A 15,823-nucleotide genomic window follows, 5' to 3' on the forward strand; every position below is an offset into this window, starting at 1 on the left:
CAAATCATTTTTCTGATTTCAGGAATGGAATAATACCTCCTAATCTACTTATTTCATATTTCTCTTAAGAGAATTAAGACAATGTGTTTGTATGTCCTTTAAAAATATATTTATAATTTTGGTAAAAGCTTGGTATTGAAGGAGCAGAAACCTTTGCAAACATAAAGTTTATTGTTTGTCTGGATTTCTTTTGTGTGTGTATGTATTAACAAAACAATTAGAGAGTGAATTAAGAGGATATATTGTTCTTACCATATATCAAGTGTCAATCAGCTAGGAATTTCTATTCAGACAGGCCTTCATGCATAGGATTCTGAAGAGGTTTATATTATTTACCTTACTGATATCCTAAAGCACATTAAAAATTCTATGTGTACAAAGTGAAATGGAGATGGCATTTATCTAATAAAGTCAAGCCATATAAGTGGTTGGCTATTCATTTGCATATGAGGGTGACATTACCAGTTCCATCTCCCTAATAAGACAAATTCACTGAAATCTTGCCTTCTTATGTCTTTATTTTGCTCATTTTTTTCTAATAAAACTTTCCAGGTTTTAAGAACATATTTAGTGTCAGAGTCTAAGCTAAATTTTACATGTAGTGTCTCATTTAGTCCTCATAATAACCAGCTTTTATTATTATGATCCCTATTATAAAATAAGCACAGGCAAAACAATTTGCTCAGGATTATGTAGGTAGTGAGTGAAAGGACTAAAACAAGATTAGTCTAATTTCAAAGCCCATGCTCTAAATTATTACACTGTACTGTCTGCTGTAGAGATTGTTGAAAATGCCAATCCAGGTTCCAGGATAGAATCACCTGTTATTGACTTCTCTGTTTGTACTAGTGATGCTGGTAACCCTGGGATCTTTCACTCGGCTTGACTTTAGAGAAAAATCTGTCTGACCCAGAATTATGAGTTGGAGGCATCCTGGCCTGATTTGCATGACCTCAGTTGTGTAGTTGTGTAGGGTTGTACAAAATGCTGACTTTGAAGGCTCTGGTTCAGGATAGTGTATAACTTTGATGTGAACAAAAAGATCAGCGTGTTGTTTCAAGCACAGCTGTGTAATCAAAGCCACACAGCCTAGATGGATTTCAGCTAATTGGTTCAATGGAAACTTACAGCTGGAATGTGATGGAATGAAGCTGTCTGCTGTTATTCAGGCAAACCAACCTCGGTCACGTTCCCTGGCCACCACTGAAACAAATGTCCTACTTTGTAAAGAGGCACCGAGTGGCGGCACACAAATAGCTAAGCTGTTTAACATTTGCAGACATTCACGGTAATGTATCAGCTGTCAATACGCTGCACACACATTAGGGGGGGATCGTGACAGCATTGCTGACACGCTATTGATTCATGGCACAGGCTGTTTATCTGTGACAAGAAAACATCAGTTGATATTGACAAATCATCTGAAAATACTCACCTACTTGCACTCTATCAAGTTGAGTGAAATACACAGTAAACTGACTGCCGGGAGTCAAGATAGATCCACAGAAAGAGAGTACTCGTCATACATTAGATATTCTCTATAAATACACAGCTCTGGTTTATTGATGATAAAGAAGTAGTTTTCTCACTGTAAGGCCAAAGACTGAATACCAGTTATGTAAATAATAGGAAAGAACAATGAGTGAATTCAGAGTGGGGCTTATTTACAAAATTCTGTCTTTCTCGCTGACCTTAAAAAATGAGTGTGAGAAACTGCCTGGTGTGCAGTGCTAGGCGGGCAAAAGTCTCCAACAGATTAGGAAGATAAAAGTATGCTTTTGTCTGAAAGATCCATGATCAGGGTTGAGGGTTTTTACTTGAGATAATATTTTACAAACACATTACAGGACTTTGCTCACCATTTCCTGTTGGGGTGGCTATTGAAATGCTGCGACATAGCACTAAATATAATGAAAAGAGTAAAGATTTAGTTGGTTAGGTGAGTGAAGATTCAATGCCCCATTCACTCAACCTTTTAAAAGCACTAAGCATTTTAAGTAAGTTTCATAGCCTTTGATCAACAAAAATTTTTAAATTGTGGTGCCGTGCACATTATGTCAAACTACAGTGTTGTATTTAGGTTATCTGAAAAAAGACTGCCATTGGTCTAAAAATACTGTTTCAAAGAATGTATTCACTCATTCAATCAAGATTTATTGAGCATCTACTGTTTGTCATGCACTCCGCTGGGTGGAAGAGATATAGCTGAGAACAGGAAACAAATTCCTTACTTCATGGGTTTATTTTCTAGTTTTGAGGGGAGACAAAAATATTAAACAAATATTTAAATAACTTCAAGTTGCAATAAGTGACATGTAGGAAACAAAGATAGTTTGAATCAGATCTGCCACATGCAGCAAAAAAAGTCTTCCCTGGTAAGCTTAGCCGTGTTGACCATATCTGAATGTTCATTAAGTCTTCCATGGACTCATGTACCCATAGTGATATGGGGTTAGGGAAGACAACTTGTATCTACTATGTGCCATGCACTGTAGTAGGTGCTGTTAGAAAGATTAAGGATTGTGAGTAGCAGCTTGGCAGGCGGAGCTCAGGATGTAAATGAAGACAGAATATCTTTAGTTTAAAACCTGCCTCTACTATATTCTACTACTGTGACCCTGGGAAAGTCACTTAAACTCGCTGAGCTTCAGTTTCCTCATTTATAAAATGGAGATCACATTTTGCTGGGTTGAAGTAAGGATTAAATGAGATATTATGTGTGCAATATGTGGTACATAAGAGGTGATCAATTAATTTATTGAATGTTTATAATCTTCTGATATGGTTGGTACCAAGTACCACTATACTATGTTTGAGGATCTCAAAGACTATGCAACTTATTTAAATGCTTGGTGCTTTTAAAATGTCAAATAAATGCGGCATTGGATCCTCATCTAACTGATTTAATTTTTAACCTTTTCATTATATTTAATACTATGTCATAGTAATTCAATAATATTTGCTCCTAATTATTCTTAGCACCACTGTAACCATGGCCTCCACCATGACCGCCACTGTCACCATGTCCTCCACCATGACTGCCACTGTCACCACCTCTGCACCTCCAATAGGCCTGTTTCTATAAGCACGTTCCCTTTGTTGAGCCCCTCTGATATGCCAGACAATATGCTACACTGTGAAACATATTATCTCATATAATTCTCACAACAATCCCATGTGATAATGTAAAAACCTCTCATGCTATAGATGGAAAAATGGAAGCCCTCTCTGTATTAAGAAATTAATTCTGGATATTAGCCCTTTGTCAGATGGGTAGATTGTAAAATTTTCTCCTATTCTGTAGGTTGCCTGTTCACTCTGATGGTAGTTTCTTTTGCTGTGCAGAAGTTCTTTAGTTTAATTAAACCCCATTTGTCAATTTTGGCTTTTGTTGCCATTGCTTTTGGTGTTTTAGACATGAAGTCCTTGCCCATGCCTATGTCCTGAATGGTATTGCCTAGGTTTTCTTCTAGGGTTTTTATGGTTTTAGGTCTAACATGTAAGTCTTTAATCAATCTTGAATTAATTTTTGTATAAGGTGCAAGGAAGCAATCCAGTTTCAGCTTTCTACATATGGCTAGCCAGTTTTCCCAGCACCATTTATTAAATAGGGAATCCTTTCCCCATTTCTTGTTTTTGTCAGGTTTGTCAAAGATCACATGGGTGTAGATGTGTGGTATTATTTCTGAGGGCTCTCTTCTGTTCCATTGGTCTATATCTCTGTTTAGGTAACAGTACCATGCTGTTTTGGTTACTGTAGCCTTGTAGTATAGTTTGAAGTCAGGTAGCGTGATGCCTCCAGCTTTGTTCTTTTGGCTTAGGATTGTCTTGGCAATGCAGGCTCTTTTTTGGTTCCATATGAACTTTAAAGTAGTTTTTTCTAATTCTGTGAAGAAAGTCATTGGTAGCTTGATGGGGATGGCATTGAATCTATATTGATTCTTTTCACGATATTGATTCTTCCTATCCATGAGCATGGAAAGTTCTTCCATTTGTTTGTGTCCTCTTTTATTTTGTTGAGCAGTGGTTTGTAGTTCTCCTTGAAGAGGTCCTTCACATCCCTTGTAAGTTGGATTCCTAGGTATTTTATTCTCTTTGAAGCAATTGTGAATGGGAGTTCACTCATGATTTGGCTCTCTGCATGTCTGTTATTGGTGTATAAGAATGCTTGTGATTTTTGCACATTGATTTTGTATCCTGAGACTTTGCTGAAGTCAATTATCAGCTTAAGGAGATTTTTGGCTGAGACGATGGGGTTTTCTAAATATACAATCATGTCATCTGCAAACAGGGATAATTTGACTTCCTCTTTTCCTAATTGAATACCCTTTATTTCTTTCTCCTGCCTGATTGCCCTGGCCAGAACTTCCAACACTATGTTGAATCGGAGTGGTGAGAGAGGGCATCCCTGTCTTGTGCCAGTTTTCAAAGGGAATGTTTCCAGTTTTTGCCCATTCAGTATGATATTGGCTGTGGGTTTGTCATAAATAGCTCTTATTAGTTTGAGATATGTCCCATCAATACCTAGTTTATTGAGAGTTTTTAGCATGAAGTGCTGTTGAATTTTGTCAAAGGCCTTTTCTGCATCTATTGAGATAATCATGTGGTTTTTGTCTTTGGTTCTGTTTATATGCTGGATTACATTTATTGATTTACATATGTTGAACCAGCCTTGCATCCCAGGGATGAAGCCCACTTGATCATGGTGGATAAGCTTTTTGATGTGCTGCTGGATTCAGTTTGCCAGTATTTTACTGAGGATTTTTGCATCGATGTTCATCAGGGATATTGGTCTAAAATTCTCTTTTTTGTTGTTTTTGTTGTGTCTCTGCCAGACTTTGGTATCAGGATGATGCTGGCCTCATAAAATGAGTTAGGGAGTATTCCCTCTTTTTCTATTGATTGGAACAGTTTCAGAAGGAATGGTACCGGCTCCTCTTTGTACCTCTGGTAGAATTCAGCTGTGAATCCATCTGGTCCTGGAGTTTTTTTGGTTGGTAGGCTCTTAATTATTGCCTCAATTTCAGAGCCTGTTATTGGTCTATTCAGGGATTCAAGTTCTTCCTGGTTTAGTCTTTGGAGGGTGTATGTGTCCAGGAATTTATCCATTTCTTCTAGATTTTCTAGTTTATTTGCGTAGAGGTGTTTATAGTATTCTCTGATGGTAGTTTGTATTTCTGTGGGATCGGTGGTGATATCCCCTTTATCACTTTTTATTGCATCTATTTGATTCTTCTCTCTTTTCTTCTTTATTAGTTTGGCTAGCGATCTATCAATTTTTTTGATCTTTTCAGAAAGCGAGCTCCTGGATTCATTGATTTTTTGAAGGTTTTTTTTGTGTCTCTATCTCCTTCAATTATGCTCTGGTCTTAGTTATTTCTTGTCTTCTGCTAGCTTTTGAATGTGTTTGCTCTTGCTTCTCTAGTTCTTTTAATTGTGATATGAGGTGTCAATTTTAGATCTTTCCTGCTTTCTCTTGTGGGCATTTAGTGCTATAAATTTCCTGCTACACACTGCTTTAAATGTGTCCCAGAGATTCTGGTGTGTTGTGTCTCTGTTCTCATTGGTTTCAAAGAACATCTTTATTTCTGCCTTCATTTCATTATGTACCCAGTAGTCATTCAGGAGCAGGTTATTCAGATTCCATGTAGTTGAGCGGTTTTGAGTGAGTTTCTTAATCCTGAGTTCTAGTTTGATTGCACTGTGGTCTGAGAGACAATTTGTTATAATTTCTGTTCTTTTACATTTGCTGAGGAGAGCTTTACTTCCAACTATGTGGTCAGTTTTGGAATAGGTGTGGAGTGGTGTTGAAAAAAATGTATATTCTGTTGATTTGGGGTGGAGAGTTTTGTAGATGTCTATTATGTCCACTTGGTGCAGAGCTGAGTTCAATTCCTGGGTATCCTTTTTAAATTTCTGTCCCGTTGATCTGTCTAATGTTGACAGTGGGGTGTTAAAGTCTCCCATTATTATTGTGTGGTAGTCTAAGTCTCTTTGTAGGTCACTCAGAACTTGCTTTATGAATCTGGGTGCTCCTGTATTGGATGCATATATATTTAGGATAGTTAGCTCTTCTTGTTGAATTGATCCCTTTACCATTATGTAATGGCCTTCTTTGTCTCTTTTGTTCTTTGTTGGTTTAAAGTCTGTTTTATCAGAGACTAGGATTGCAACCCCTGCCTTTTTTTGTTTTCCATTTGCTTGGTAGATCTTCCTCCATCCTTTTATTTTGAGCCTATGTGTGTCTCTGCAAGTGAGATGGGTTTCCTGAATACAGCACACTGATGGGTCTTGACTGTTTATCCAATTTGCCAGTCAGTGCCTTTTAATTGGAGCATTTAGTCCATTGACATTTAAAGTTAATATTGTTATGTGTGAATTTGATCCTGTCATTATGATGTTAGCTGGTTATTTTGCTCATTAGTTGATGCAGTTTCTTCCTAGCCTCAATGGTCTTTACAATTTGGCATGATTTTGCAGTGGCTGGTACTGGTTGTTCCTTTCCATGTTTAGTGCTTCCTTCAGGAGCTCTTTTAGGGCAGGCCTGGTGGTGACAAAATCTCTCAGCATTTGCTTTTCTGTGAAGTATTTTATTTCTCCTTCACTTATGAAGCTTAGTTTGGCTGGATATGAAATTCTGGGTTGAAAATTCTTTTCTTTAAGAATGTTGAATATTGGCCCCCACTCTCTTCTGGCTTGTAGAGTTTCTGCTGAGACATCCGCTGTTAGTCTGATGGGCTTCCCTTTGTGGGTAACCTGACCTTTCTCTCTGGCTGCCCTTAACATTTTTTCCTTCATTTCCACTTTGGTGAATCTGACAATTATGTGTCTTGGTGTTGCTCTTCTCGAGGAGTATCCTTGTGGCATTCTCTGTATTTCCTGAATGTGAATGTTGGCCTGCCTTGCTAGATTGGGGAAGTTCTCCTGGATAATATCCTGCAGAGTGTTTTCCAACTTGATTCCATTCTCCCCGTCACTTTCAGGTACACCAGTGAGACGTAGATTTGGTCTTTTCACATAGTCCCATATTTCTTGGAGGCTTTGTTTGTTTCTTTTTATTCTTTTTTCTCTAAACTTCCCTTCTCGCTTCATTTCATTCATTTCATCTTCCATCACTGATCCCCTTTCTTCCCGTTGATCTCATTGGCTCCTGAGGCTTCTGCATTCTTCACGTAGTTCTCAAGCCTTGGCTTTCAGCTCCATCAGCTCCTTTAAGCACGTCTCTGTATTGGTTATTCTAGTTATACATTCCTCTAAATTTTTTTCAAAGTTTTTAACTTCTTTGCCTTTGGTTTGAATTTCCTCCTGTAGCTTGGAGTAGTTAAGGGGTCAGGGAGTTCCCTTTCATAGTCAAAGAAAGGGGTGATAGATGGCACCTGGAAAATAGGGTCACTCCCACCCTAATACTGTGCTTTTCTGACGGGCTTAGAAAACGGCGCACCAGGAGATAATATCCCGCACCTGGCTCAGAGGGTCCTATGCCCAGGGAGTCTGGCTGATTGCTAACACAGCAGTCTGAGATCAAACTGCAAGGAGGCAGCGAGGCTGGGGGAGGGGCGCCCGCCATTGCCCAGGCTTGCTTAGGTAAACAAAGCAGCTGGGAAGCTCGAACTGGGTGAAGCCCACCACAGCTCAAGGAGGCCTGCCTGCCTCTGTAGGCTCCACCTCTGGGGGCAGGGCACAGACAAACAAAAAGACAGCAGTAACCTCTGCAGACTTAAATGTCCCTGTCTGACAGCTTTGAAGAGAGCATTGGTTCTCCCAGCACGCAGCTGGAGATCTGAGAACGGGCAGACTGCCTCCTCAAGTGGGTCCCTGACCCCTGACCCCTGAGCAACCTAACTGGGAGGCACCCCCCAGTAGGGGCAGACTGACCCCTCACAGGCCGGGTACTCCTCTGAGACAAAACTTCCAGAGGAACAATCAGACAGCAGCATTCACGGTTCACAAAAATCCGCTGTTCTGATGCCACCGCTGCTGATACCCAGGCAAACAGGGTCTGGAGTGGACCTCTAGCAAACTCCAACAGACCTGCAGCTGAGGGTCCTGTCTGTCAGAAGGAAAACTAACAAACAGAAAGGGCATCCACAACAAAAACCTATCTGTACATCACCATCATCAAAGATCAAAAGTAGATAAAACCACAAAGATGGGGAAAAAACAGAGCAGAAAAACTGGAAACTCTAAAAAGCAGAGCGCCTTTCCTCCTCCAAAGGAACGCAGTTCCTCACCAGCAATTGAACAAAGCTGGACAGAGAATGACTTTGACGAGTTGAGAGAAGAAAGCTTCAGAGGATCACAGAAAATGTAAGTTTATACTTAGAGTAAGAATGGATGCTTTCATAAAGTTTATTCTGTGTCAGACACTGTTCTAAGGGCTTTACATACATTAACTCATTTGATCCCTACAATTTGCAGAAAACATTATATTCTTTCTTGCCAGATAAAGAGACTGAGACATAAGAGGTTAAGTATCTTGCACAATTCATGAGTAGAGGAAGTCAGAGACTGAATCCGGATTCTCTGGCTCCATAGTCAATGTGCTATACAGTCAACCAGTCTACATACTACAGCATAAGTATCAATACAGGAAGGGAAAATATGGCAAAAATAGGAAGGATGCTACTCAAAAGACACTGCCCTAAGTTTTTTTTTTGGAATTACAGATTTGTGTCTTAGTTAAATCTTTGCCTGGAATAAAAGGTGCCTGCTCAAAAAATGATGTCATAGGTGAACAAATGAATGAATTTGTTTTCTATATCACAACCAGTGGCACCTCTCTAAAGCTCAAATTATATCATTTAACTCTTCTGCTTAAACTCCTTTAGTGGCTTCCTATGAAGGTTGTCAGATTAAGTAAATACAAACACAGAATACCCAGTTATTTGGATTTCAAATAAACAATGATTTTTTAATAGTATGTTTTTAATAATAATTAAGACATATTTATACCGAAAAAGTTATTTGTTGTTTATTTGAAATTCACATTTAGCTGGGCCTTCTACATTTTATCTGGCAACCTTGCTCTCAATTGCCCTCAGAATAATGTTCAAATTATTTAATTGCTTTGGAGTTTGTGATGTGCTTGTAGCTTATTTCTTCAACCTCTTGAGGTTTTTACACCATTCCCCACTTAGACTTTATGTTCTAGACATGCCTGAATATTTGCAGTTCCCTGAACGAATCTTTTTCTCTGAACTTCTGGCCTTTTCACAGGATATTCTCTTATTCTTACCATTCTTTACCTAACTTTTTTGTTAGATCAGATAAGAAGTCGCTCCTCCAAAATGTAGGTTAGGAGCAACCATGCCTTCCTCTTTTCCAAGCAGAGTTCCCATTACACTGTCTAGTAATAGTCAGATAAACAATTTTAATTGTTTGTCTCTCTCTAGACTTCAGGCTCTTTGAAGGTAGGGGGATATCCATCTTGCTCAATGTTGCATCCTTTTGTCTGCCTGGCACATAATAGAATCTGAAGCAATATTTGGTGAATAAAGTGATCTCAAAAGTGTAATTATGGAGAAAGTTAGAGTCTCCTTGCCCACTTTGTTTATTCAGAAAACAAGGAGCCAACAAAGTATTCGTAATAAAGTGACTATTGGTGCATATGTGTATTCTGCATGTTTTGCCCATGTCAGATCCATTTTTTACATGAATATATTTAACATTATTACAAAGTTTTAAAATTTTGTGTCTCAGGTAAGCTATACATGATTGGCTCCTTTCAGCAGCAGTGTCTGTGTGGTTAAAATCAATGGTATAAAAATTATGGCTTTAATCATTCTGATAAATCATTGTAACTTTAGAGCTTATTTATCAATTTCTACAGAATTTAATATCAAGATGTAGTTTACCCAGCTGATTCTGTTTGCTTATTGGCAACCTTTATATAGTCTGAATGTATAAGACGATGATGAACACCACATAAAATCCATACTGTATAGTACTAGTGCTGAGCAACTCAAGGCCTCTCAGGGATTTTCCTAGCAAATCTTATCCTAGAACTTAGACTGATCAGTAAGCAATCATTAATGTAGCCATTTTTCATGGAGGACTACTGTACAGTCATTTGCGATTGTGCTATGCTAATGTGGATCTGGCATTTTCATCATGCAGTTCACTGAATACGAACTTGCCAAATTGTTCTTTTCTATCAAGCTCAAGTTTCACCCAAATCAACACGAACTTTTTCCATGAATTTAGAAAATGGCAACTGGGCAGCCCATGCTACTTGACTCTGGAGGCGGGGCTCAGACACCAGGCCAAATAGAGAACGAGCTAAAACAGGTCCAGCGGGGGAAACAGCTTTCCATAAGGCAAACCCCACCAGTGGACCACATTAGTTTGCCATTGCCATGGCAACATCTGGAAGTTGCTGCCTTATTCTATAATAATGACCAAACAACTTGAAGTTGTCACTCTTTTCCTAGGAATTTCTGCATATAATTTAAAGTAGGTATAAATATGCATGCAGACATGCCTTTGAGCTGCCACTCTGGGCACACTGCCTATGGGGTAGTCCTACTCTGCAAGGAGCAGTATCTCTGCTGGCTGCTGTTCACTGCTGCTTCAATAAAAGTTGCTGTTTAACACCACCAGTTCACCCTTGAATTCCTCACTGGGCAAAGCCAAGAACCCCTGGGTAGAGCCAAAAACCCTCCCAGGCTAAGCCTCAATTTTGGGCCTTTCTTGTCCTGCATCACTACCAGTTCCTTTCTGGATAATAAAGCTGGCTTCAAATAGAGAGTATAGAATTTTGAGTCAAAGATCACTCTGAAGACTTTCTGCTTTTGTTAGTCTTTGAGACTCCTCTACCTTCTTTGTAAAATGGAACTAATAATATGAATTTTTGGAAAAGTTGTTTTAGGTTTCTAACCTTTTAAAGATATTTTAAGCTCAGCCATTATCATCAGAAAATGTTGTTTGTCTGCCTGTGTTTTTTGTCTGCCTACTGCCTGCCCACTTCTCTGCCTCTCTTTTATGTGCTTGGAAGTACACATGCACACACACACACCCCTGGAAAATTTGAATGGAAACACCTCTGGTACCCATGGAAAAAGTACTGGCTCAAACCATCCATAGCTTAGCTGAATATTAGGGAAGCCAGCCTCCTCTGTACTGCTTTCACATTACTCCACTTTAGGATGTCTAAATATTAGCAAGTCTAGTGAGCAGATCACCTTATTTCTAATTGTTATTCCAAGTGATATCAAATGAACTTGATGAGGGTCTTGATTAACAGCTGATGAGAATGTAACCACTATCCTTCTACATCTTCATATGTCTCAACACTGAAGTTCTAATACTTAAAAAGTGTTATGCATGTCTATTTCTTGCAGCCTTAAAAAACCTGCTGAAAATACAATTGTCTAAAATTTTATTGCCAGAACTGACAACTGGGAAAAAATATATGATTAATAATATTTATAGTAATTTGTTTCTAATAATGAAAAATTTGAAATAACAGAAACATCAAAAACTGGTGGAAATTAGTGGCTATGCTTTACAAATTTTATCATTGAGCAGGGCCATCAGAATCTTACTCTAATAAAGCTATATGCTGGGAAGCCCCTGGATTCACCTGGCTACACTGAGGACCAAGTGGATTAACAGCTTGAGATGTACCTGAAGTCCATTCATGGCATGCTGACTGGAAAGTTCTAAACTAAAGCATTTGCTTACAATGGGGTATTTTAATTAGCAAAAATGGTCATATAAATCTAAATGAAAAGATTTCTACAGCAGATTGCATAGGAAAAAAGGTTACAGTTAAGTATATATAGTTTACACAATTTATGCATATGTGCATGCCTGAACAGCTGTTTGGAGTGAGTCAGCAATATCATATTATGAAGTGATAGGATTCTGGGTTCTAATTTAAATATATATATATTTGTTATATAAAAATTTTTACCAGTGTTTGCTGCATTTACTGTGGGAATGAAGACCATTCTCGGCAGACTGTTGATATTTCAGAAAATGTCAACACCACTCTGAAGGGATGCGTAGTTTTTGTGAAGGGCCCCAGAGGAAACCTGCAGAGAGACTTCAGTCACATCAATGTAGAACTTAGTCTCCTTGGAAAGGAAAAGAAGAGGCTCAAGGTTGACAAAAGGGGGGAAATAGAAAGTGGCTACCGTTTGTGCTATTCATAGTAGCATACAGAACATGATCAAAGGTGTTACACTGGACTTCCATTACAATATGAGGTCTGTGTATGCTCACTTCCCCATCAATGTCATTATCCCTGAGAATAGGTCTCTTTTTGAAATCAGACATTTCTTGGATAAGGCCGGGTGAGGTGGCTCATGCCTGTAATCCCAGCACTTTGGGAGGCCAAGGCAGGAGGATCTCCTGAGGTCAGGAATTCGAGACCAGCCTGGCCAACATGGTGAAACCCCGTCTCTACTAAAACTACAAAAAAATTAGCCAGGCATGCTGACAGACGTCTGTAATCCCAGCTACTCGAATGGCTGAGAATCACTTGAACCCAGGAGGCTGAGGTTGCAGTGAGCTGAGATCACGCCATTACACTCCAGCCTGGGCAACAAGAGTAAAACTCCATCTCAAATATATATATATATTTCCACAGGGTTCAGATGAGGCCAGGTGTTGCTTGTTCAGTATATCTCAAGCCCAGAAAGATGACTTAATCCTGGAAGGAAATGACATTGAACTTGTTTCAAATTCAGCTGCTTTGATTCAGCAAGCCACAACAGCTAAAAACAAGAGTATCAGAAAAATTTTGGATGGCATCTATGTCTCTGAAAAAGGGACAGTTCAGCAAGCTGAGTAAGATATAACAGTTGTCTGGTTACATAAACAAGATGCCAGATGATTCCAAAGAACTAACTGTGATATTTAAATGATGCAATAAAAGACCTGTTGATTTGGAAAATAATTACCATTATCAAGTATACTTTTCCCAAAATAATAATCCTATATAACAGGAGAAGTTTCTCACCTACTGTTGTGGTCTTGAGTCTATCCTCCTCCACCCTATTTATTTCCCATCAGGTGATAGACTTGCATTTTGAGAGATCAACTTCACTTTTCTGGGGATGTGTCATGATTAGTTCAAGTGAACTTTGTTAATTCCATTTATTTTATCAGTGATTGATACAAGCAACTCTGTCTAAGGTAATAAGAACATGTCAATTTTCAGTTCACAAGGACTGGCTCAAGTTTGAGGATCTGACTCAGTTTGAAACAGTGAGGTGGAATTAAAGTTTATTAATGGTTTCTGGAAAAGTTTCCTTGCTTTTAAAATAGAGACTCAAAGAATATATTATCTCTTTTTCTATGGATTTTTTTTTTCAGTTGCCGATGTGCCGCTTTGCCTGAGCATTGGATCTAACTAAGAGAATTAAAAAGAAATAGAGTCAGAGTCCCAAATTAAGCACGCCAGTCTTATTTTACTGTTACCAGAACAAATACTTTTCCTTATAGCTTAATGCTGTTTGATTTCATTGCTGTTGAAAGCATTTTAATAGGTTCATCCACTTGATTGGTGGCAAGAATAGAGTTATCCCACCTCCAGGCATCATGTCAAAGATATCTTGTAAGATATGGTGATGTATGTAATGTTTAACATATATATGTTAAAGAAACAAAACAAAAATTTCACAAATTGTTCATCTCAGCATTGTGGAAATGTGCAAGCCATATCTATAATTTTAAAATTTCTAGTTGCCACATTTTAAAAAGTAAATATAAACAGGTAAAATTAAATTAAATAATATATTTTATTTAACCATCATAGATGAAAATCTTTTACACATTTAATCAATACAAAATATTAATGACTTATTGTATTTTGGGGAGCAGTAAGCATGTGATGTCTGTTGTATGTTTTATACTTAGGGCACATCTCCATTTGGGTAGCTGCAGTTTGAGTGCTCAGAAGTCACACGTGGCTAGCATTATTAAATACCATAAGTCGATTTCCACGCTAGTATTTTCTACATGCCAGAAACATCAGCAAGATTGGGAGCCTGTTAGAAATACAATCTTAGTCCCCACCCCAGACTTAGTGAATCAGAATCTGCATTTTAACAAGATTATCAGGTGATTTATTTTTATATTAAAGTTTGAGTAATTATTATTATTATTGTTATTTCTGTTTTCACTATTATTTTGGTATTAGCAGAAATGAACCACTTGTAGCACATTTTATGACTGAGCTATGGCAAACTGGGAGTACAGTCAAGGTATGTTGCAGACAAATACCTGAATGCAGACCTGATCAGGGCTGGCATAAATTCTTCAGACTGCCTAGGCCTTATGCTAGCTCTGAAATGAATGGTGTAAGCCTAATAGTAACAGAAAAGATTGGTTGTAAGCCCCAAGTGAATGGCACAGCTGTAATGTGTTGATGCATTCCTAATCAACAGATTTATTTATACAGCCTTGTTTTGCATGAGAAATATCTGATATGGGATTGTTGGTAAAATATTTACAGTTCTTCAAGTTTTCTTTTGGAGAGATGGGCTTGAAATTGAATGGAACAATGTGAGGTCATCATTAGGCCCTTATCACGTGCCAGGTTTCTGTGCATTTGTTTTGGTTTGATTTCTATCTGCTTTGCATTCTTCTTCATGATAAATGGTACCAAATCATTCGTTAATAATTCCCCATTCAGTGGAAGGGAGAGACCAAAGGATTTTCAGAGATAACATAACTGGTCTTGAATTCCACAGTGGGCATAAACCTTGGTGCATTTGTCTCCTCTATAGTTATTTTTTCTATTCATCTCGAACCTCATCCGAACAGATAACAAACCACTTCATGAACAGATGTGCCACTTATTTATGTAGTTCTGTAATGATAATGAAGAAAATTTAATCTGGAGTGTCTGTAGAAGATGAACTAAAGCCAGATTGGTATGAATAATAAAGGCTCTGTTGGAATGTTGGGCCCCACATGAAAAGCCAATCATTAAGTACTTGACAATGCTGTCTTTCATATAGTCTAATAGTGTGTAGAAACAACCACCTCTCGGGTACTGGACTCCACATGCAGCTACTGTTTCTACAGATGCAAACATTCTAAATTGTTTAGAGCATAAGGGAGCATAAAGGATAATTTTTTTTTTTTTTTTTTTTTTTTTTTTTGCAGCTGGAAGCAACATCTGATGTTGCAAAATGCTGCAAATATGTTAGAGGGATTGCTTTATTCAGACAAATTTAAAATGAACTAAAAAACATGCGTAGCTTAACATTTTTGTTGAAAAGAAACAACAAATTGAGGCCAATTTCCTTCAAAAAACTATGCAAAATTATCTTTTGGGGAATAATTATTTGCTTGAAATCTGCTGCACACTTGACCTTAGTTTTATACATGATGTGTAGTTGTTCTTGGCATACAAAAAAGTGTGGTCTCTGTAGCTGAGAGGCAGTAGTATGTTCAATAAACTCCAAAAGAGATTTGTCATAAGGATTGTTTAATTTTCTCATTTATATAATTCAGTTCAACAAAACAGCAATAACAATAACAATACCGATATAAACTCTGAGAATTTAAGTTTGTCCCATATCCTCAATGTGTTCCCCATTTTCAACACAATCACTTTTTCTTTTGGTGCTTTTGTGTCTTTGTTTTGGAAACGTGGATAAGAATAACAATTTGCTTTATGAATCTATTGACTTACTCTCTATTTTTAATTTATAAGTTGTATTATAAGGAACTTTGATATACCATTTTAATAATGAAAAAATCATTCAGACAGAAAATTAATAAAAAATATTGGATTTGAATATCACTTACCAATAAAATAGACCTAAAAGACATCTACAGAGCATCTTCCCCCAAGAGAACAGAATCC

At 37.9% G+C, this 15,823-nt stretch overlaps 1 pseudogene; it reads left to right on the plus strand.

Moving 5' to 3' along the window:
* The first annotated feature begins 1,145 nt into the window (after positions 1-1,145).
* Positions 1,146-12,796, plus strand: LOC100128121 (60S ribosomal protein L9-like; annotated as a pseudogene).
* Positions 12,797-15,823: the final 3,027 nt, after the last annotated feature.

This window comes from Homo sapiens, chromosome 5 (genome assembly GCF_000001405.40).
Source record: "Homo sapiens chromosome 5, GRCh38.p14 Primary Assembly".
NCBI classification, from domain to species: Eukaryota; Metazoa; Chordata; class Mammalia; order Primates; family Hominidae; genus Homo; species Homo sapiens.